The sequence below is a fragment of the Homo sapiens genome, chromosome 4 (assembly GCF_000001405.40).
Source record: "Homo sapiens chromosome 4, GRCh38.p14 Primary Assembly".
NCBI classification, from domain to species: domain Eukaryota; kingdom Metazoa; phylum Chordata; class Mammalia; order Primates; family Hominidae; genus Homo; species Homo sapiens.
In genome coordinates, this window is record NC_000004.12 from 38,834,542 (window position 1) to 38,859,314 (window position 24,773).

Genomic DNA, 24,773 nt, shown 5'->3' on the forward strand with positions numbered 1-24,773 from the left:
AAAAATTCCCAAGTAGATTTAATTCAAAAATGTTCTCTCTGAGGAAGATCACAGTCAAACTCTCAAAAGTTGAAGACTAAGACAGAATCCTAAAAACAGCAAGAAATAAAAAAAGTCAAGTCATATAGAAGAGACTCCCCATCAGACTAACAGATTTTTCAGCAGAAACTATAGGCCAGGAGAGAATGGGATAATATACTCAAAGTGCTGAAAGAAGAAACTGTCAACCAAGAAGACTATACCCATCAAAGCTGTCCTTCCATAATGAAGAAGAAATATTCTTTCCCAGACAAGCGACAACTGAGGGAATTCATCACCACTAGACGAGCCCTACAAGAAATGCTTAAGAGAGTAGAACGTCTGGACGTGAAAAGATTATATCTACCATTATGAAAACACATGAAAGTATAAAACTCACTAGTAGAGCAAATACATAAATGAAAGAGAAAAGAGTTGAAGTTACTACTACAGAAAACCACCAAAGTTCAATGATAAACAATGAGAGGAAGAAAGGAACAAAGGATATACAAAACAACCAGAAAACAATAAGCCAAATGACAGAAATAAGTCGTTACCTATCAGTGATAACCTTGAATGTAAAAAGATTAACTTCCTCACTTAAAAGATACAAACTAGCTGAATAGATTTTTTTTACTTACCCAACTATATGCTGCCTACAAGACATTCACCCCACCTTCAAAGACACATATAGACTGAAATTGAAGGAAAGGAAAAAGATATTCCTTGCTAATGGAAACCAAAAGCAAGCAAGAATAGCTATACTTATCAGATAAAACAGACTTTAAGTATAAAACTATTAAAAAAGACAAAAAAAGCCATTATATAATGTTAAAGGGATCAATTCATCAAAAGGATATAACAATTCTAAGTATATATGTGCCCCACACAGGAACATCCAGATATATAAAGCAAATATTATTAGATCAAAAGAGAGAGATAGACTCCAATACAATAATGGTTGGGAACTTCAACATCCCACTCTCAGCATTGAACAGATCATTTAGACAGAATATCAGCAAAGAAACATTGGATTTAAACTGCACTTTAGACAAAATGGACCTAACAGATATTTACAGAACATTTCATCTGATAGCTGCAGAGTACACATTCTTCTCATCAGTGCATGGAACATTGTTCAGAATAGACCATATCTTAGGCCACAAAACAAGTTTCAACAAAAGTTTTAAAAATTGAAATCATATCAAGTATTTTCTCAGATCACAATGGAATAAAACTACAAATCAATAACAAGATGAACTTTTGAAACTGTATAAATACATGGAAATTAAACAACATGCTCCTGAACAACCACTGGGTGAATGAAGAAATTAAATAGGAGGTAAAAAAGTTTCTTGAAAAAAATTAAAATGCAAATACAGCACACCAAAGCCTAGGAGACACAGCAAAAACAATGCTAAGATGGAAATTTATAGCAATAAATGCCTACATCAAAAAAGTAGAAAGATTTGAAATAAACAACCTAACAACGAACCTCAAGGAAGCAAGAACAAATAGAAAAGCAAGAACAAACACTTTCAAATGTTAGGAGAAAGAAAGAAATACTAAAGCTCAGAGAACTAAACAAAAGAGATATTTAAAAATAGAAAAGATCAATAAAACAAAAAAATTATTTTTTGAAAAGATAAACAAAACCAATAAACTTTTAGCTAGACTAACCAAGACAAGAAAAGAAAGAAGACCAAAATAAATAAAATCAGAAATAAAAAAGGAGACATTACAACTGATACCACAGAAATATAAAAGATCATTGGAGGCAATTATGAACACCTATATGTTAACAAATTGGAAACCCTACAGGAAATGTATAAATTTCTGGATATATACAACCTACCAAATTTGAGCCTGGAAGAAATAGAAAAATCTGAACAGACCAATAACAAGTAATAAGTTTGAATCAGTAATAAAACATTTCCCAACAAAGAAAATCTCAGGACTGGATGGCTTTACTGCTGAATTTTTAACAAACAATTAACACAAAGTTTTCTCAAACTATTCAAAAAAATTAAAGATGAAGGTATTCCTCCTAACTCATTCTACAAAGCCAGCATTTTCCTGATACCAAAACCAGACAAGGACTGGGTGTGGTGACTCACACCTGTAATCCCAGAACTTTGGGAGGCTGAGGTGGGCAGATCACCTGAGGTCAGGAGTTCAAGACAAGCCTGGCCAACATGGTGAAACCTTATCTCTACTAAAAATACAAAAAATTAGCCAGGTGTGTTGGCAGACACCTGGAATCCCAGCTACTCAGGAGGCCGAGGCATGAGAATCACTTGAACCTGGGAGGCAGAGGTTGTAGTGAGCTGAGATTGTGCCACTGCACTCCAGACTGGGTGACAGAGTGAGACTCAGTCTCAAAAAAAAAAAAAAAGAAAAAAGAAATCAAGAAAGCAATCTTATTTGCATAGCTACAAGACAATTACAATACCTAGGAATAAACTTAATCAAGAAGGCAAAAGGCCCCTACAACAAAAACTACAAAATACTGATGAAAGAAATTGAGAACACAAAAAAATGGAAAGACATCCCATGTTCATGGACTGGAAGAATTAACATTGTTAAAATGACCACACTACTCAAAGCAATCTACAGATCCAATGCAATCCCTATCAAAATACCAATGATATTATTTACAGAAATATAAAAAATAATCTCAAAATTCATATGGAACCAGAAAACACCCCAAATAGCCAAATCAGTACTGAGGAAAAGGGGCAAAGCTGAAGGGATCACACTACTTGACTTCAAACGATACTGCAAAGCAAAAGTAGCATGGTATTGGTACAAAAACAGATACATAGACCAATAGAACAGAATACAGAACCCAGAAATTAATCCACATATTTACAGCCAATCAATTTTCAACAAAGATGCCAACAACATACACTGGGGAAAGACCACTCTCTTCAATAAATGGTGCTGGCTTCATATTCACTCATATGTATAAGAATGAAACTAGACCCCTGTAAGAATGAAACTAGACCCCTATCTCTCACCATATACAAAAATCAATTCAAAATGGATTACAGACTTAAATGTAAGACTTGAAAGTATAAAACTACTAAGAGAAAACAGAAGAAATGCTTGAGGACACTGGTCTAGGTAAAGATCTTATGGCTAAAATTTCAAAAGTACAGGCAATGAAAATATGAATAGACAAATGGGACTACATTAAACTAAAAACTTCTACACAGCACAGGAAACAATCAACAGGGTGAATAGATAACAGGGTTAAATGGGCGAAAATATTTGCAAACTATTCATCCAATAAAGACTAATAGCCACAATATACAAAGAACTCAAACAACTCAACAGCAAAAATAATAATAATCCTATGAAAAAGTAGGCATAGGATTTGAATAGACATTTCTCAAAAGAAGACGTACAAATGGCCAAGAGTTATATGAAAAAAATGCTCACCATGAATCATCAAGGAAGTGCAAATCAAAACCACAACGAGATATCATCTCATTCTAGTTTAAATGGCTGTCATCAAAAAGACAATAAATAGCAAATGCTGGTGAGAATGCAGAGAAAAGGGAACTCTTATACACTGTTGGTGGGAATGTAAATTAGTACAGCCATTATGGAGAACAGTACAGAGTTGTCTCAAAAAACTAAAAATAGAACTAACATACAATCCAGCAACCCCACTTCTGGATGTTTATCTAAAAGAACAGAAATCAGTGTATCAAAGGGATACCTGCACCTCCATGTTCATTGCAGCACTATCCACAATAGCCAAAATATGGAATCAACTTAACAGTCCATCAACAGATGAATGGATAAATAAAATGTGATATATATACCCGATGGAATACCATTCAGCCATTTAAAATAATTAAATCCTGTCATTTGCAGCAATATGGATGGACCTGGAGGTCATTACATTAGCAAAATAAGCCAGGCACAGAAAGGCAAATATTGTGTTCTCACTCATCTGTGGGAGCTAAAATACGCATCTCAGGAGGGTAGAGAGTAGAACAATAGTTACCAGAGACTAAGAGGTGAGTGAGGGAATGAAGAGAGGTTGGTTAATGGATAAAAACATACAGTTAGATAAAAAGAAAAAGTTCTAGTGTTCAATAACACAGTAGGGTGACTATAGCTAACAATAATTTATTGTATATTTCAAAACAGCTAGAAGAGAAGATCTGAAATGCTCCCCCACCCACACACAAAATGATGTATGTTTGAGATGGTGGATATCCTAAATACCCTGATTTGACACACGGTATGTATGTGTCAAATATTGTAGTTACCCCATAAATATGTATAATTATTTTGTGGGGAAGGAAAGAAGAAAGAAAGAGAAAAAGAGAAGGAAGGAAGGGAGGGAGGGAGGGAAGGAAGGAAGGAAGGGAGGAAGGAAGGAAGGAAGGGGAGGAAGGAAAGAAAGGAGGGAGAGAGGGGGAGAGAGAGAAGGAGAGAGAGAAAGAAAGTTAAGAAAGAGAGAGAAAGAAAGAAAAAGAGAGAAAGAAATAGAAAGAGAGAAAGAGGAAGGAAGGAAGGGAGGGAGGGGAGGCAAAGGGAGGGGAGGAAGGGAGGGAAGGGAGGGAGGGGAGGGAAGGGGGGGAAGATCCTTAAATCCATTTTGCTAGGTGAAAGAAGTCAGTCTGAAAAAGCTAAATACTATTTTATTTCAACTATATGATATTCCAGGAAAGGCAAAACTAAATAGACAAAAAAAAACTGCTCTAAAAAATAAAGTCTATTGATTTTTTTTTAAAAAAAATTAATAGAAATGGAAAAAGCATAGACATTGGACTTACTAGGCAAAGGCTTTAAATCAACTGTATTGAAAGTTAACTACGTGCTGTACTCAAAAAATAGTTATTCTCTTTTAAAGAAGAAGTTCTTTTATCCTTCCCCACCACCAAATATTAGACCAGCCGGTTTGATAATTTAAAAAAGCAGGCAAGAAGCCAGTCCCAAAAACTCCAAGACATACTCAGTAGTTTATACCAGTATCCAGTTTGGCACCAACTCAGCCATCTGCTGCAACCAGTGACCCTTCACGGCTGAAGGGTTAACAAATCCATTTCTCTCTTTCTCCATGGACTGATCTGACCTCAAGTTAACTTCCTAGCCCTATTCTGAAAACCTGAAACATGTAGAAAGTCAGCTGTGTACCAGCCAACATTACTTATTGTAACAATGATCCCTGACTGGTAAATTGCATCCAGGATGAAAGGACTGTGTATGAACTATAAGTACCAGGTAGAAAATTGAGCTTCTGAGTGTGGCCTATTGGGGCATTTGGGTATGAATGTTTAGTTGAGCCTGAGAAACCTCCGATGGGCACTCGACAGTGGTGCCAGTGCTGAGCTAGACTTTCAGCAGTGCTGATTATAATCCCGAAAGACACAATCCTGAAGGCTGAAATCCTAAAAGATCAAAGTCCCCAAAGTCTAAAATCCCTAATGTCCAACTGAATCCTCAAATCATAATGACCTATCACTTGATTTGGAATTAGGTGTGATCAAGGCTTCTAAAAGGGAATTTCAAGGTGTTACCAATAAAGTTTGTTTTCTTCCATTCAGCCCAATGCATTTGTCAGAAAATTCAGTTGAGAGGATTGGCCACATAATGTGGCAATGATGAAAAATTTAGTTTAAAAATACATTATTTGTCTGCACTGGCATTCCTTCTGGCTGATGAAATACCAGGAGTTCTCAATGAATTAAAGTTGCATTTGCCTAAAGCACCCAGTGAAGTTACTGACTGATTTGAAAATAATAATGCATATGGTAGGATAAGAAGACACAGGACTGGCGTGGTGGCTCACACCTGTAATTCCAGCACTTTGGGAGGCTGAGGCCCATGGATCACGAGGTCAGGAGTTCGAGACCTGCCTGGCCAATATGGTGAAACCCCGTCTCTACTAAAAAAATACAAGAATTAGCTGGGCGTGGTGGTGGGTTCCTGTAATCCCAGCTACTTGGGAGGCTGAGGCAGGAGAATTGCTTAAACCCGGGAGGTGGAGGTTGCAATGAGCCGAGATCGCGCCATTACACTCCAGCCTGGGTGACAGGGCAAGACTCCCTCTCAAAAAAAAAAAAAAAAGAAGACACACAATGCTGTTGTTGATTGATCACCAGTATTGTTTCTGCCAAATGTGTGGTCTGTATATGAGTGCATGCAGAATAGATTTTCATGTACCCAAATCAACACAGAAGCACGGCACTGAAGATGAGAACATTTAACAGGAATGCTCATGTTGGTGTAAATATGTAAATAGAAGCAGAGAAGCATTTCCAAACAAGCAGTGCCACATCGAAAATAAATGTGAATGTATTCTCTGAGGAGAACAGTGCCCTGAAAGAAATAAATCAGCTATTTGTTGTGATGCAAGACTTTAAAATATTAATAATGGTGAAAGTTGGCCAGCTCTTATGGACTACCTCCATGCAATTGCCCATAATCTGTCCCTGTGATATACTTTTTCTTCTTAATTTTTTTTGGGGGGTGGGGTGGATGGTTAATTTTTTTGCTTTTCTTTTCCTTTGTCCCATTATTTTAAATCATCAACACTATTTTTTACAATTTGCTATGCTATGTATTTCATCTTCACATCATTTCCAATACTGGAGGTATAAATTTTGTAAAGACTATTTAGAGAGTTCTGATTTATTTTATGCAACGTTGACTCCATAAAAGTACATTATCACAACATTGACTTTGTGTGCAAGCATTGTGTGTGTATGTGAAAACACTGAAACTTCTGCCGGGAGCAGAGGCTCATCTCTGTAATCCCAGCACTTTGGGAGGCCACAGCGGGCAGATGGCTTGAGCTCTGGGGTTTGAGACCAACCCGGGCAACACAGTGAAACCCTGTCTCTACAAAAAATACAAAAATTATCCAGGCATAGTGGTGCCTGCCTGTAGTCCCAGCTACTAGGGAGGCTGAAGTGGAGGATGGCTTGAGCCCAGGAGACAGAGGTAGTTGCAGTGAGCAGAGATTAAAAGGAGAGAGAGAGAGAAAGAGAGAAGAAAAAAGGGAAACTTTCTCAATAAATGAACAGAAGTCCTTTTTGCCCATCTGCATTTGTGAAAGATAAAATTTCTCAAGCTCTCAGCTCTCTGGGCAACTATATATATGCGGTGGTGACCCATCACAGTTTTTGATCAATCGCATCAAAGGACTTAGGTTGCCCATCATGGTTTGACAGTGTGGATGGCAGCAGTTACGTAAGCCATTTATTTGTGAGTACGGTTCATCTGTTCCTGAGTGTTTACGCATGCAACTGTCCTTAGCATATCTGAGTGTTCATGCTTGCAAAAATATGTACGTCATTATTGTTTATTTTATTTGTAAAGTGATTTATAAAATATTGTCATGTTTTCATATGTTTCTCAAATAAATCGCCTTTCAAAAATGTAAATGAATGTCTTTTAAAGAATGTTTAAAAATTTTTTTTTCAGAATTATATTTTCAGGATTTTGATCTTCCAGGATTTCAACATTCAGGATTATGGCACTTGGGATTGCATCTTTCAGGATTCTGACCCAAACCCGACTTTCTGATCCCCAACCCAATTTGGGCAAGGTGACATCAAAAGAAAGGGAAGGGGAGGAAGGTGGTTGGCAGGACATTGAGGCCTGGCCAGGAGGTGGATCTGCCTGCAATGTGATGACCAAAGCCCTGTGGAATATGAGAGGGATCAATCCTTTTGGGAGGGCAGATGAGGACTGGAATGAGGCTATATTTATATCTTAAGGAGGAACTACCTACTCCCTCCACCTTCATGAATTGGACCTGACCAAAACTAGCCATAAGTGGCCTGGCAGAAATGATATCACCATTCATGGAGCCAGTGAGAAAATGCAATTAACCCAGGCCAAAGTGGTCATTTGTGCCTTGCTGGGGGCTGGTAGCAGGCACACAAGCCCACAGATCCCATGTTTGTGACTGGGAAAGAGGGGTGGGACTAAAATTATTCTACAGGGAAAGCAAGGAGCCAGTCTCAGAAACTCAGACATATGCTTAGGAGTCTACTCTCCTTAGGCTCTGATCCGCACAGAAAAGCATCTGTGAGCCCCCATGGGGGGCAAAGCCAGAATGCCTCTGTGTGCCAGCACACAAGGCCAGACAAGTCTCCATGGCCACCCAGCTCCGACAGGGGCATCCTGGCCGCCTGTCCTCATGACCTAATCACCTTCCAGAGGCTCACACATCTAATACCATCACGTTGGTAATTAGGTTTCAACACATGAATTTCGAAGAGACACAAACATTCGGGCCATAGCAATGACACATATACTGTGCTTTTTTTTTTTAATCCCAGGAGTGTTTTAGTTATAGAATCTCATTGTTGACACAATTCCCATTACAATGGGTATTTTTCCAACCAACATTAGACTGCAAGCCACAAATTTAGAGAGACAGGATTCAGCACATGATAATCTGAAAACATCAAGTTCTAACAGCTAACACACTGACAAAATGAAAAAGTTTGCCAGGCTAAAGCTGCCGTATGGAAGAGATAACTACTTTCTCAGGGCCCAGAAAGCCTCGTTGCATTACAACACATTATAGACATTGACGTTCATGACAATGATGCTGAGCAAACAAGAAAAGAATACTTGACTGAGGCAGGGCGGCAGGTGCATGAGCCCACAAACCCCATGTTCATGACTGAGACAAAGGACTGGAACTGCCAGGCTGGCTCAGAACCTTTTCAGGCTCTGTTCTGCACAAGAAAGCATCTATGAGCTCCTGGGGGACAAAAGCAGCCACCAACATTTTTAAAGTAGGTCTCTGTGTTGCAGGGATAATTGAGAGCAGATTACCAAAATGAGCACTGCACATTGCTCAGTTTTATTTAAAAAGGACCCACTTTTCACCATCAGGGGATATACTGGAAATAGTAAAACAGTCAAGAGATGAATCCTTTATTTACAAAGGGTCCACTTTTCACCATCAGGGTATATATTGGAAATAGTAAAACAGGAAAGAGATGAGTCCTTTATTTACAAAGGATCCACTTTTCGTCATCAGAGGATATATTGGAAATAGTAAAACAGGCAAGAGATGAGTAGAGTTTCAACCAACCTTTCTTTGGAAGAGTGAAAACTCTGAGTTGGGGAACTTTTATTACTGAATGGCGTATGGTTAAAAGCTCTTCACTGATCCATATAACTTCTCCCAACTGCCCATCAGAACACCCACAGAGACACACATACATTTGAAAAATCCACTTGGCCACTGAAAACAAAGAAGCACAGAAATGTAATGGCAGGATCCAGGAGCATCTTCACTCACAAAAATGTAACTGGAACTGTGTTAGGGCAAACCTGCCACACTCAAGCTTTGTCTCAGGAAAATAGACTCCCTGATGAAAGGCAGAAAGAAATTTGTCCTCTCTCTGTCTCTGATTCAAACAGTGAGGATGAGTTCCAACTAGTACTTAATGAGTAGCTAGGCAGTGTCCCTTTTACCCCAATGGTACTGACATGAGTGGATCAGCATGCTGAGTTTTCCTTCTACGGACTGCCACACTCCATTCTCCCCAAACTTTACACTTAGTGATGGACACTACCAGGTAAGAGCTGGACATGGGGCAGGGAACCACTTTAGGGAGCACACCGCATTCTGAGATGTGTAACTCAGACAATACTTACCGATATGGACAGCGACTGGAATACTGGTAGCGGTGTTCATCAGGAATTGCAGTTTTTATACACAATATATACAAAGTATATATCGGTCAAAGTACTAGAGAGTTGGGCAACGATAGGAGAAGCTACTACTTTATACTGGTTATATGGTCAAAACAAATAGTTCACAATGAAGATGTAACAGATAAGAACAGTTATGCAGCAAGTAATATTGCATCAAAATTTACAAAGTAAAAAATGTTACAAAACACATGGAGACATTGTGAGTAAAAGTATTTAGCATATTTCTCTGGGTCACTGTTAGATCAAGTAGCAAAAAATAAAAACATATATGGAAATTTGAATGAGAAATTAATAAAGGATTTAATAGAGACATAAGCTGTACCCTACAAAAAGAGAACATCATATGTCTAAGTCTCTAGAGTTCATAGAGCATTTACTAAAATCAATTGTTTTTTAGGTCAAATACATACATCTTAAATTAAGTATCCCAAAACAGAAATTATAAAAGTCATATTTCTGACTATAAAAGGAACTTTTAAAATCACATTTAAAAATGTTCTAAGAGACCTGGCCTGGTGGCTCATACCTGTAATCCCAGCACTTTGGGAGGCCAAGGTGGGTGGATCTCCTGAGGTAAGGAGTTCGAGACCAGCCTTGCCAACATGGTGAAACCCTGTCTCTACTAAACAAACAAAAAAAAAATTAGCCAGGCGTGGTGGTACACACCTGTATTCCCAGCTACTTTGGGGGCTGAGGCAAGAGAATCGTTCGAACCTGGGAGGCGGAGGTTGCAGTGAGCTAAGATTGTGCCACTGCACTCCAGCCTGGGTGACAAAACCACATTTTCAAATACAAACATTACAAATTATGATAGTCAAAAGGGTGGCTTGTATGTGTTCCAGCTTCCTCTTCTTGCCTTAAATTCCTGAAATGACCAAATATTTTGAAAAATATTAAGTTATATCTCTATCTATCTATTAAAGTTTTATCTATATTGATCGATTGATAGATCCATAACACACTAAAAGGCAAGGGGACCTTTAGGGGACTGAAACCGAGAAGCCTCTGAAATCCAGAAAGGGACTCACCTATGACAGAATACTGGCCTCCCAAAGATGTCTACTTCTAATCCCCCAACTTGGTGAATATGCTATGTTACATGGCAAAGGAAAATTAATGTTGTGGATGAAATTATAGTTGCTAATCAACTGATCTTAAAATAGGAAGATTATCCTGAATTACTTGGGTGGCCCCAGTATAATCACAAGCACCCTTAAAAGTGGAAGAGGAAGGCAGAGAGGATGTCAGGGTGATGTGATATGAGAAGAACTTGGCCCATCCTTGCTGGCCCTGAAGATAAAGGAAGGGGACTATGAGTCAAGAAATGTGAGCAGCCTCTAGAAGTTTGAAAAGGCAAGTACCTGGATTCCCTCCTAGAGCCTCCAGAAAGAATGCAGCCTTGCCAGTCCCTTGATTTTAGCCAACAAGACCTGTGTCAGATTCCTACCCTACAGAACTGTAAGATAATAAATGTATATTGTTTTAAGCCACAACGTTTGTGGTAATTTGTTACAGCATCAACAGAAAATTAGTAGAGACTGGGGCCAGGCATGGTGGCTTACCTCTGTAATCCTAGCACTTTGGGAGGCCGAGGTGGATGGATTGCCTCAGGTCAGAAGTTCGAGACCAGCCTGGCCAACATGGTGAAACCCTGTCTCCATTAAAAATACAAAAATTAGCCGGGTGTGGCAGTGGGTGCCTGCAGTCCCAGCTATTCAGGAGGCTGAGGCAGGAGAATCACTTGAACCCGGGAGGTGGAGGTTGCAGTGAGCTGAGATTGTGCCGCTGTACTCCAGGCTGGGCCACAGAGCGAGACATCTCAAAAAAAAAAAAAAAAAAAGAAAAGAAAAGAAAATTAGTAGAGACTGGTTTGATCCAGCATCCCAACAAGCAGGCTATGAAAATAGATCAACAAGCACTCTCACAAGAAGGCTTAAACACAGTTGCACAATCAAGAAGCATGATACTGCAGAAAGCAAGTACCATAATAGAAAGGAGCCAAACTCAAGATATGAAAGAAGTTAATACTCAACTAAACAGAAATAAAAGAGCAGAATAGGCATTTATAATAGATATCTTCAGAAAGAGGAGAGATTCTTTTAAAAATAGAGTAAGAATCATGGAAATTATAGACAATTATTGAAAAGAAAAATTCACTGGATGACTTGAGTTGCAAATAGCACCACTAATGAGAAAATTAATGATAGAGAAGACCAAGGAGAATTTTCCCAAACTCACCAGGGGAGGCCAAAGAGACAGAAAACATACTAAAATGCTAAAAGACATGGAAGACAGATCCATATCTGAATTCCCAGAGGATGGAGAGTTTAAAAAGAAATTAACTCTAAAATAATAAAATACAAGAAGGATTATTTAGCAAAGAAAAGTAGTAAAATTTAGTGCTAAGTACCAAAAAGTATTGATGACAAAAATCTTAATAGAAATCTCGAGCTAAAAACTGCCAATGATAAGAAGGGAGAAGGGAGTTGGCTGAAGGTGGGGTAGGGAGGGAGAGAGTGCACTAAAACCATGTAAGATAGTTGTCTAATTGAAAGGAAGCTATAGATGCCAATTAACTCCTGATGTTGTTAGAAAAATATTTGTAAGTATATATATTATAAAATTAAGAGTAATTATGAGAAAATACAAATAAAAGGGATAAATTTCAGTCATTTATGGGGAAGGGATAGAGCTCAGAATAAAGAAACCCCAATCAATCTAGCTGTGTCCTGAAGAAAAAATATAATGAGTAATTAGGATGTTTCTGAGATTGTAGAAATGGTCTATCATTAACAAGTCTATAACAATAATTCAATTGAGTAAGTCAAACAAGAAAAATAGATGAGCATCTCTATAAAGGTGAAAAATTCACTTGATAAAATTCAGTCCTCATCTTTGATTAAATACAACTATAGGTATTTAAAAAATACTTTGAAAACTTTATAAAGAATACCTCAAATATCTAACTTTAATCAATATTCCACCCCAAGGCATTCCTGTTAAAGTCAACATCAAGAATGCACACATTAGGGGGGGTGGTTCCAAGATGGCCAAATAGGAACAGCTCCAGTCTATAGCTCTCAGCATAAGTGATGCAGAAGATGGGTGATTTCTGCATTTCCAGCTGAGGTACCGGGTTCATCTCACTGGGGCCCGTCGGACAGTGGGGGCAGGACAGTGGGTGCAGCTCAATGAGTGTGAGCCGAAGCACGGTGAGGCATTGCCTCACCCGGGAAGCACAAGGGGTCAGGAATTCCCTTTCCTAGCCAAAGGAAGGGGTGACAGATGGCACCTGGAAAATTGGGTCACTCCCACCCTAATACCGTGCTTTTCCAACGGTCTTAGCAAACGGCATACCAGGAGATTATATCCCGCACCTGGCTTGGAGGGTCCCACACCCACGGAGCCTCGCTCATTGCTAGCACAGCAGTCTGAGCTCAAACTGCAAGGTGGCAGTGAGGCTGGGGGAGGGGCGCCAGCCATTGCTGAGGCTTGAGTAGGTAAACAAAGCAGCCAGGAAGCTCAAACTGGGTGGAGCCCACCACAGCTCAAGGAGGCCTGCCTGCCTCTGTAGACTCCACCTCTGGGGGCAGGGCATAGCCCAACAAAAGGCAGCAGAAACCTCTGCAGACTTAAATGTCCCTGTCTGACAGCTTTGAAGAGAGTAGTGGTTCTCCCAGCACAGAGTTTGAGATCTGGGAATGGACAGACTGCCTCCTCAAGTGGGTCCCTGACCCCCATGTAGCCTAACTGGGAGGCACCCCCCAGTAGGGGCAGACTGATACCTCACATGGCCAGGTACCCCTCTGAGACAAAGCTTCCAGAGGAACGATCAGGCAGCAACATTTGCTGTTCAGCAATATTCGCTGTTCTGCAGCCTCCGCTGCTGATACCCAGTCAAACAGGGTCTGGAGTGGACCTCCAGCAAACTCCAACAGACCTGCAGCTGAGGGTCCTGACTGTTACAAGGAAAACTAACAAACAGAAAGGACATCCACACCAAAAACCCATCTGTACGTCACCATCATCAAAGACCAAAGGTGGATAAAACCACAAAGATGGGGAAAAAACAGAGCAGAAAAGCTGAAAATTCTAAAAATCAGAGCACCTCTCCCACTCCAAAGGAACGCAGCTCCTCGCCAGCAACGGAACAAAGCTGGAGAGAGAATGACTTTGACATGTTGAGAGATGGCTTCAGACGATCAAACTTCTCCAACTAAAGGAGGAAGTTCGAACCCATTGCAAAGAAGCTAAAAACCTTGACAAAAGATTAGACGAATGGCTAGCTAGAATAAGCAGTGTAGAGAAGTCCTTAAAGGACCTGATGGAGCTGAAAACCATGGCACTAGAACTATGTGACGAATGCACAAGTTTCAGTAGCTGATTTGATCAACTGGAAGAAAGAGTATCAGTGATTGATGATCAAATGAATGAAATGAAGTGAGAAGAGAAGTTTAGAGGAAAAAGAGTAAAAAGAAACAAACAAAGCCTCCAAGAAATATGGGACTATGTGAAAAGGCCAAATCTATGTCTGATTGGTGTGCCTGAAATTGACGGGGAGAATGGAACCATGTTGGAAAACATTCTGCAGGATGTTATCCAGGAGAAATTCACCAACCTAGCAAGGCAGGCCAACACTCAAATTCAGGAAATACAGAGAACACCACAAAGATACTCCTCCAGAAGAGCAACTCCAAGACACATAATTGTCAGATTCGCCAAAGTTGAATGAAGGAAAAAATGTTAAGGGCAGCCAGAGAGAAAGGTTGGGTTACCCACAAAGGGAAGCCCATCAGACTAACAGCTGATCTCTCGGCAGAAACTCTACAAGCCAGAAGAGAGTGGGGGCCAATATTCAACGTTCTTAAAGAAAAGAATTTTCAACCCAGAATTTCATATCCAGCCAAACTAAGCTTCATAAGTGAAGGAGAAATAAAATCCTTTACAGACAAGCAAATGCTGAGAGATTTTGTCACCACCAGGCCTGCCCTAAAAGAGCTCCTGAAGGAAGCACTAAACATGGAAAGGAAGAACCGGTACCAGCCACTGCAACAACATGCCAAAATGTAAAGACCATTGATGCTAGGAAGAAACTGCATCAACTAACGAGCAGAATAACCAGCTAACATCATAATGACAGATCAAATTCACACATAATAATATTAACCTTAAATGTAAATGGGCTAAATGCTCCAATTAAAAGACACAGACTGGCAAATTGGATAAAGAGTCAAGACCCACCAGTGTGCTGTATTCAGGAGACCCATCTCACGTGCAGAGACACACATAGGCTCAAAATAAAGGGATGGAGGAAGATCTACCAAGCAAATGGAAAACAAAAAAAGGCAGGGGTTGCAATCCTAGTCTCTGATAAAACAAACTATAAACTAACAAAAATCAAAAGAGACAAAGAAGGCCATTGCATAATGGTAAAGGGATCAATTCAACAAGAAGAGCTAACTATCCTAAATATATATGCACCCAATACAAAGAGACTTAGACTCCCACACAATAATAATGGGAGACTTTAACACCCCACTGTCAACATTAGACAGATCAACGAGACAGAAAGTTAACAAGGATATCCAGGAATTGAACTCAGCTCTGCACCAAGCGAACCTAATAGACATCTACAGAACTCTCCACCCCAAATCAACAGAATATATATTTTTCTCAGCACCACACTGCACTTATTGATAACATAGTTAGAAGTAAAGCACTCCACAGCAAATGTAAAAGAACAGAAATTATAACAAACTGTCTCTCAGACCATGGTGCAATCAAACTAGAACTCAGGATTAAGAAACTCACTCAAAACCACTCAACTACATGGAAACTGAACAACCTGCTCCTGAATGACTACTGGGTTCATAAAGAAATGAAGGCAGAAATAAAGATGTTCCTTGAAACCAGCGAGGACAAAGACACAACATACCACAATCTCAGGGACACAGTTAAAGCAGTGTGTAGAGGGAAATTTATAGCACTAAATGCCCACAAGAGAAAGCAGGAAAGATCTAAAATTGACACCCTAACATCACAATTAAAAGAACTAGAGAAGCAAGAGCAAACATATTGAAAAGCTAGCAGAAGGCAAGAAATAACTAAGATCAGAGCAGAACTGAAGGAGATAGAGACACAAAACACCCTTCAAAAAATCAATGAATCCAGGAGGTGGGTTTTTGAAAAGATCAACAAAATTGATAGACCTCTAGCAAGACTAATAAAGAAGAAAAGAGAGAAATATCAAATCAACGCAATAAAAAATGATAAAGGGGATATCACCACTGATCCCACAGAAATACAAACTACCATCAGATAATACTATAAACACCTCTATGCAAATAAACTAGAAAATCTAGAAGAAGTGAATAAATTCCTCGACACCTACACTCTCCCAAGACTAAACCAGGAAGAAGTTGAATCCCTGAATAGGCCAATAACAGGCTCTGAAATTGAGGCAATAATTAATAGCCTACCAACCAAAAAAAGTCCAGGACCAGACGGATTCACAGCTGAATTCTACCAGAGGTACAACTAGGAGCTGGTACCATTCCTTCTGAAACTATTCCAATCAATAGAAAAAGAGGGAATCCTCCTTAACTCATTTTATGAGGCCAGCATCATCCTGATACCAAAGCCTGGCAGAGACACAACAAAAAAAGAGAATTTTAGACCAATATCCCTGATGAACATTAATACAAAAATCCTCAATAAAATACTGGCAAACTGAATCCAGCAGCACATCAAAAAGCTTATCCACCATGATCAAGTGGGCTTCATCCCTGGGATGCAAGGCTGTTTCAACATACGCAAATCAATAAATGTAATCCAGCATATAAACAGAACCAAAGACAAAAACCACATGATTATCTCAATAGATGCAGAAAAGGCCTTTGACAAAATTCAACAGCTCTTCATGCTAAAAATTCTCAATAAATTAGGTATTGATGGGACGTATCTCAAAATAATAAGAGCTATTTATGACAAACCCACAGCCAATAGCATACTGAATGGGCAAAAACTGGAAGCATTCCCTTTGAAAACTGGCACATGACAGAGATGCCCCCTCTCACCACTCCTATTCATATTCAACATAGTGTTGGAAGTTCTGGCCAGGGCAATCAGGCAAAAGAAAGAAATAAAGGGTATTCAATTAGGAAAAGAGGAAGTCAAATTGTCCCTCTTTGCAGATGACATGATAGTATATTTAGAAAACCCCATCGTCTCAGCCCAAAATCTCCTTAAGCTGATAAGCAACTTCAGCAAAGTCTCAGGATACAAAATCAATGTACAAAAATCACAAGCATTCTTATACATCAATAACAGACAAACAGAGAGCCAAATCATGAGTGGACTCCCATTCACAATTGCTTCAAAGAGAATAAAATACCTAGGAATCCAACTTACAAGGGATGTGAAGGACCTCTTCAAGGAGAACTACAAACCACTGCTCAATGAAATAAAAGAGGACACAAACAAACATTCCATGCTCATGGATAGGAAGAATCAATATCATGAAAATGGCCATACTGCCCAAAGTAATTTATAGATTCAATGCCATCCCCATCAAGCTACCAATGACTTTCTTCACAGAACTGGAAAAAACTACTTTAAAGTTCATATGGGGTCAAAAAAGAGCCCATATTGCCAAGTCAATCCTAAGCCAAAAGAACAAAGCTGGAGGCATCATGCTACCTAATTTCAAACTATACTACAAGGCTACAGTAACCAAAACAGCATGGTACTGGTACCAAAACAGAGATATAGATCAATGGAACAGAACAGAGCTCTCAGAAGTAATACCACACATCTACAACCATCTGATCTTTGACAAGCCTGACAAAAACAAGAAATAGGGAAAGGATTCCCTATTTAATAAATGGTGCTGGGAAAACTGGCTAGCCATATGGAGAAAGCTGAAACTGGATCCCTTCCTTACACCTTATACAAACATTAATTCAAGATGGATTAAAGACTTAAATGTTAGACTTAAAACCATAAAAACTCTAGAAGAAAACCTAGGCAATACCATTCAGGACATAGGCATGGGCAAGGACTTCAAGTCTAAAACACCAAAAGCAATGGCAACAAAAGACAAAATTGACAAATGGGATCTAATTAAACTAAAGAGCTTCTGCACAGCAAAAGAAACTACCATCAGAATGAATAGGCAACCTACAGAATGGGAGAAAATTTTTGCAATCTACTCATCCAACAAAGGGCTAATATCCAGAATCTACAATGAACTCAAACAAATTTACAAGAAAAAAATAAACAACCCCATCAAAAAGTGGGCGAAGGATATGAACAGACACTTCTCAAAAGAAGACATTTATGCAGCCAAAAGACACATGAAAAAATGCTCATCATCACTGGCCATCAGAGAAATGCAAATCAAAACCACAATGAGATACCGTCTCACACCAGTTAGAATGGCGATCATTAAAAAGTCAGGAAACAACAGGTGCTGGAGAGGACGTGGAGAAATAGGAACACTTTTACACTGTTGGTGGGACTGTAAACTAGTTCAACCATTGTGGAAGACAGTGTGGTGATTCCTCAGGGATCTAGAACTAGAAATACGATTTGACCCAGCTATCCCATTACTGGGTATATACCCAAAGGATTATAAATCATGCTGCTATAAAGATACATGCACACACATGTTTATTGTGGCACTATTCACAATAGCAAAGACTTGGAACCAACCCAAATGTCCATCAATGATAGACTGGATTAAGAAAATGTGGCACATATACACCATGGAATACTATGCAGCCATAAAAAAGGATGAGTTCATGTCCTTTGTAGGGACATGGATGAAGCTGGAAACCATCATTCTCGTAAACTATCGCAAGGACAAAAAACCAAACACCGCATGTTCTCACTCATAGGTGGGAAATGAACAATGAGAACTCTTGGACACAGGAAAGGGAACATAACACACTGGGGCCTGTCGTGGGGTGGGGGGAGGGGGGAGGGAAAGCATTAGGAGATATACGTAATGTAAATGACGAGTTAATGGGTGCAGCACACCAACATGGCACATGTATACATATATAACAAACCTGCATGTTGTGCACATGTACCCTAGAACTTAAAGTATAATAATAAAAAAAAAAGAATGCACACATTGTTCTTTCCGGAAGTTTTAACCACTGTAATAAAGAAAAAAAATGACAGGAAGAAATACTGAAATGAAGAAAGAAAATCATTATTATTTTTAGATTATAAGACTGTCAATGTGGAAAGCCAAAGAGAAGTCATTGAAAAAATGTTAGCACCAATAAAAGACTACAATAAAGTGGCCGTCACAAAATAAATTATTATCATTACTATTTTCTTAAACACTTTCTTTTTAAGAGACAGGGTTTTGTCCCACTGCCCAGGCTGGAGTGCAGTGGCACAATCATAGCTTAAGGTCCTGGGCTCATGCCATCCTCTCACCTCAGCCTCCCACGGAGCTGGGGTTACAGGTACAAGCCACTGCTCCTGGCAAAAATAAATTCTATTTTGAAAACAAATCCCTCAATTATCCAAAAATAGCAGGTTATCAAATAAATTTTAGTATCTCTGTATAATTAAATAGTACTATGTAGCCTTTAAAAATAATAAAAATCGAATTGCATGAAAATATTTTCACTATATGTGACAAAAAGCAGTTTATTTAAAAAGTACCAAAGTAAATATGTACCTATGCAAGTAGAAAAATTAATAAGATACATACCAAGATATGAACAGTAATTATCTTTGCACAGTAAGATTATAATGGAACTTTATTTTCCTCTTAGTTTTTATCTATATTTTTCAAACTTTTAACATTCAAAATTAAGTTTACTGTACTATTTACTGAATAATTTGCCAAAAATCAATTGCCAATAATATGAATAATGTGCAATCTCACAAAAAATAAAACAGCACGTTAAATCAAAAAAGCACATAACATCTAGATGAAACTCATGATCTTGGATTAGATCTCAGTTAAGACAGACTTGCTATAAAACATATTCAGTAACAGAAGGAGGGGCAGATTCTATGATGGACCAGCCATTAGATGCTATTAAGAAATAAATTGTAATTTTTTATAATGTTATTTGGCTATTTTAGGAAAATGTAATTTTTTTAGAGATAGAGAATAAAGCTTTTAGAAATAGGTTTCCAGAATGCCTGTTATTTTTACTATAAGATATTTAAGCATAAAAAGAGGAAGGGGGTCAAAGGAGGACTCTTGTTTCTTAAAAGATTTTTTAAAAGGCAAGATTTTTTTTTCACCTATCAAATAGGGAAAATTAAAAAATATAATATCCAGGTTGGTAGGTGGAAACTAAAATAAGAACCCTCATTTACTACTTAGGCAGGAATGAAAAATTAGTACAAGCTTTCTAAAGGGTAATTTGGTAATTTACATAAATTTCTTAAAAATATACCTTCCTTTATTTTAGCAATTCCACTACAAGGAATTTTCTAAAGAAATAGTCAAAAATAACACACAGAAGATATGACTATAAGGATACTCATGACATAATGAAATATTGAAAAAATCAGAATGTCTAGTGTAGAAAATGATTAAATCAGTTATGTATAATTAAATAATAGCCTCAAATACTGTACTTTGAAAAAATGATAATGTTAAATGAATACAGTAATAGAAAATTATGGCCGGGCGCAGTGGCTCACGCCTCTCATCCCAGCACTTTGGGAGGCCAAGGCGGGTGGATCACGAGGTCAGGAGATCGAGACCATCCTGGCTAACGGTGAAACCCCGTCTCTACTAAAAAAAAATACAAAAAAATTAGCCGGGCGTGGTGGCGGGCGCCTGTAGTCCCAGCTACTCGGGAGGCTGAGGCAGGAGAATGGCGTGAACCCGGGAGGCGGAGCTTGCAGTGAGCCGAGATCGTGCCGCTGCACTCCAGCCTGGGCGACAGAGCAAGACTCCGTCTCAAAAAAAAAAAAAAAAAATTATATATGTAGTAAGACTCTAATTTTGCAAAATATGATTAAAACCTGACATATACGTAAAAGCTAGAGGACAAACAATGTGATGAAATATACCAAATACTAATAATAGTGGTTCTCTGAATCTCTGAATTATAGATGAATTTAATTTTCTTTCTTATACTTTCAGATATCCCTAAAATGTCTCATTTTGAATGTCCTTTATAATCCAAAAAAGTTATCGTAAGGCAATTTAAGAGTTGTCTTTATAGCTGTGTGAAAATATTTTATATTTAAAGAAACGTGCTTGTTTTATTTGGAATATTAAAATATAAAGATGGAGAACTTTCAGATAATAGTAGATAACTGGCATTCACAGATGAGGACCTACCCTACAGGTCCCCGGCAACCAGACCCACGGTGTCTGGGTTCATGGGACTGAAAATCAGTCACCAGGTGGAAAAGCTGGTCAGCTGTCCTTATGGTATCCTGCCACAAAAACGCAATATTCCTCCAGAGGCGTTCATACCCTGAGGCAGTTCCTAGGGAATACACTAAATGAACAAGATAGTAACTTTTCTATTTATTGGGAAAAAAGGAGGGAAAAATGGGAAGATGAGAGTGGAAGATTAGAGAGTTCACAGTTTTTTAAAGAAAGTAAAAATAAACAGGTAAATGCTCTTGATTTTTTAAATGCATCAAATAAAAAGGGTGAGGAAATAGATGAAATAAGCTACATTTCAGAAAAAAAGGGTAGACAAGACCTATGAAAATTAAAACTACAAGGAAGAAGAGAGCAGAAAAAAAATTAAGTGAAATAAGTGGAGGAAAGATCACATAATCAAGTTAACAAATAGGCAAGAAAAACATTGTTTCATTTGTCAAACTGAAGGTGGAAGGACCTGGAGGAAGGCAATTGCTACACTGTGCCAGATTCAAGCTTGTGAAGGGGCTTGGTCCCGGCCACTTCCTCCATTTAATAAATGTTTATTCAGAGTCTATTTTTCTGCCAGTGCCATGCTACGCACTAGGCACCAGGGATATAAATATGAATAGGACTGACATAATTCCTGCTTTCAAAAAGCTTATGAATTAGGGACAGACACAGACCAGCAAACTGTTACAGTGACAAACGACAAGGGAGATCAAACACACGTCTGCTGTAAAAACATATAATAAATAGGTGCCATATCAGTGGTATATAAAAATTACTGTTAAATGTTACTGAAAACAATAAACTAGAGAAAGACGAAAAGAGAAAATTCGCTGGGCCAAATCAGAAGAAATAAATAACATTAGTTTTGTTCCTTAATTATCACCACAAGCGCTAGTTGTTTTCTATCTTTTCAAGACAGCTGTAAAGACGCTGCTCTTCATCCTGCTCGTGAAATTCAAAGGACATTTGCAACATCTACAAAAAAAACCACTTCAAATCATTTTGCAAAAATTTCAAGGAAACATTACCTATTTCCTATATAATGAATGGTTAGCAAACTTGCTTACTTGAAGCACCTGTGCCATAATGTGAAAAAGCCACAGAAGTCTTTCTACTTACCAAGATCTCTTTTTCAGAAGAAGAGAAAATAACTTGTAAATGAACGGAAATACAATTGAAAATGCTTGACAAACACAAGTTCTTAAAGTTGAGTAAAGCGGTACCTTAGAAACAGATTGGTGCCATCTGTTGGCCCACACTGGAATTACTCCTACGTATATTTTTACCTTTCAAAGGTCCGGAGGTGAGTTAGCAGTTTTTTCTGGGCTACAGACAAAACCAGTAATCCAATTTTCTAATTCGTGTGAGGAAGCAACTTACAAACAATTCAATGTGAAGAAAAATATTTTTCTAAGGTAATATTTCTCTGTAAGAGTTTGCAGCCTGGTTATTACATTTGTCACCTGAGTGGAAAGTTATTTTAAACAGCCTGTTTTCTATTATCACCATATTTAACATTTCAAGAATAATTGCAGTTTCCCTTATCAAGCAATTTTGAGCATTATTTTAGCTGGATGAGATAGTTTAAAATAAAATAAGTATAGTTCCACAATTTGGGTTTTTTTTTAAAAATCAACTTCTAAGGAAAGTTTACTGGTTGATACATATTTATGACTACATATTTAGCCATATGTACGAGCAATCATACCCACATTCTGATCAACATTTGGTGTTATTAAATGGTTTAGATTTTAATTTAGGAATAATAAATAACACTGAAATCCTGCAAGACTAATTTAAAAATCAATTTTCTAAAGACCATTTAGAAGAATTTCAGAATGACATCAACAAAGGCTGATTACCAGAAGTCTCTGGTTAAACAGAGACTTCTGGTGGACAGTAAACCCTTTTCCCCAGACTTCTTGCTTAACTGAGTTCTGCAAAGGACAGAAGGCATGAGTGAAACAATCATTCTATAATTTATCTCACTGTCTGGCACAATCTCATCTTTATTAAAAAAAAAACAACAACAAGTTAAGACCTTACAATTTGGCTAATGACAAAGTTGGACATCTCCGTAAGAATCACTTCTGCTTTCAGGAGGAAGAGAAAGGCTGGCTTCTTGTGATTCATCCTTACTCATCAAACATAACAGGAAGTCTCCTCAGGCCTGGGGAGGCTCAGTAAGGAGTGGATGGATCTCTGCTCCACTGGCAAAAGGAGACAGCCAGAAAGCAGCAGGTATCTGTGACCCTGGAAAACCAGATTTGTGAAACAAGCCAAGGGAAAGGGCTGGCTGTGGCTCTGAGGGAATTTCAAGTAACCGTGGACTAAAGTCTTAAGAAAACAGACAACTATCACTGCAGATCTGGGCACATTGACATGTCTCATTAGGAGATTGCATCACAACACCAATGTTCAGAAACAAGGAGACTATTCTTGTCGAGGCTGTCATAACTCAGAAACGTCTGTAAGGGGATGACAAAAACACAAAAATCAAGTAATAGCGAAGATGGCAATGACAGTTAAGCAAACAAAGAAACAGACAGTACTGGGCCGAACCTCCACTTGGCCACTTACTGTGAGGCTTGGGACAAGTCCCTTAACCTCCATTTATTCATCCACAAAATGGGAGTACTTTTAGGAAAGATAATGAATTTAAAGTGGCTGGAATAGTGACTGACACAGAAGAGAAGTCATAATAGTAAGGAGTTTGGTGCAAATCATATAGTTTTTTTGTATGCTGAGGGGTAAAGATTTCAGGATATACTATGAAGTGAAGAAAATCAAGGTGCAGGCTGGGCACGATGTCTCATGCCTGTAATCCCAGCACTTCGGGAGGCCGAGGTGGGTAGATCACCAGAGGTCAGGAGTTCGAGACCGGCTTGGCTAACATGGCGAAACCCTGTCTCTACTAAAAATACAAACATTAGCTGGGTATGGTGGCAGGCAACTGTACTCCCAGCTACTCGGGAGGCTGAAGCAGGAGAATCATTGGAACCCAGGAGGCAGAGGTAGCAGAGAGCTGAGATTGTGCCACTGCACTTCAGCCTGGGCAACAGAGTGAGACTCTGGCTCAAAAGAAAAAAGAAAGAAAGAAAGAGAGAGAGAGAGAGGGAGAGAGAGAGAGAGAGGGAGAGAGAGAGAGAGGGAGAGAGAGAGAGAGAGAGAGGGAGAGAGAGAGAGAGAGGAAGAAAGAAAGAAAGAAAGAAAGAAAGAAAGAAAGAAAGAAAGAAAGAAAGAAAGAGAGAAAGAAAGAAAGAAAAGAAAGAAAGAAAATTAAGGTGCAGAACTGTAAGAAGAGTATGACATCAATTGTATAAAATCTAGCCATTTACACAGGTTATCTTCTTGCCAGGCATTGCTGTGACTACTTTCCAAGTATTAACTCATTAAGGTGCTGTGAGATAAGTACTGTCACGTCATCTCCACTTAGCGCAGCTGGGTAATCGTTCCAGCTTGCACTGCTGGTCAGTGGTGGGGGTGGGATTCGAACCCAGGCAGTTTGGCCCCAGTGCCTATGCACTTAAGCATCATACTATGCTGCCTTAGAAGACACCCTGTGTCCTCATAAGACACACAGAGAAGAGAGATACAGAGAAGCAGAGCATTTGCAAACAGAGGCAGAGACTGGGGTATTGCAGTCACAATGCAAGGGATGTCTGGAGCCACC

General features: G+C 38.8%; 1 protein-coding gene across 8 annotated transcripts in view, besides 1 other annotated feature; it reads right to left on the minus strand.

The window, feature by feature from the left end:
• Positions 1 to 24,773, minus strand: part of TLR6 (toll like receptor 6) — a 45,494-nt gene that overhangs the window by 11,645 nt on the left and 9,076 nt on the right. Inside the window, exons 1-2 of one of the 8 annotated variants that reach the window (XM_047449496.1) lie at positions 22,220 to 22,276; positions 9,098 to 9,250 (exon numbers count right to left, since the gene is read on the minus strand). The exons of 1 other annotated variant lie outside the window; for it this stretch is intronic. The gene's annotated coding sequence lies outside the window, so the exon portion shown is untranslated. Of the gene's footprint in view, positions 1 to 9,097; positions 9,619 to 9,666; positions 10,268 to 11,288; positions 11,582 to 22,219; positions 22,277 to 23,146; positions 23,215 to 24,773 lie in introns of those variants that run through there. 6 more of the 8 variants (XM_047449497.1, NM_001394553.1, NM_006068.5 and 3 more) reach the window with 6 other exon arrangements.
• Positions 22,725 to 23,924: an enhancer, noted in NCBI's record as "MED14-independent group 3 enhancer chr4:38858887-38860086 (GRCh37/hg19 assembly coordinates)". NCBI's record gives its function as "activates an origin of replication core promoter dependent on BRD2, BRD4, P300/CBP and CDK7 cofactors, and independent of MED14, by STARR-seq in HCT116 cells {active_cell/tissue: HCT116}" and the evidence as "EXISTENCE:reporter gene assay evidence [ECO:0000049][PMID:35650434]".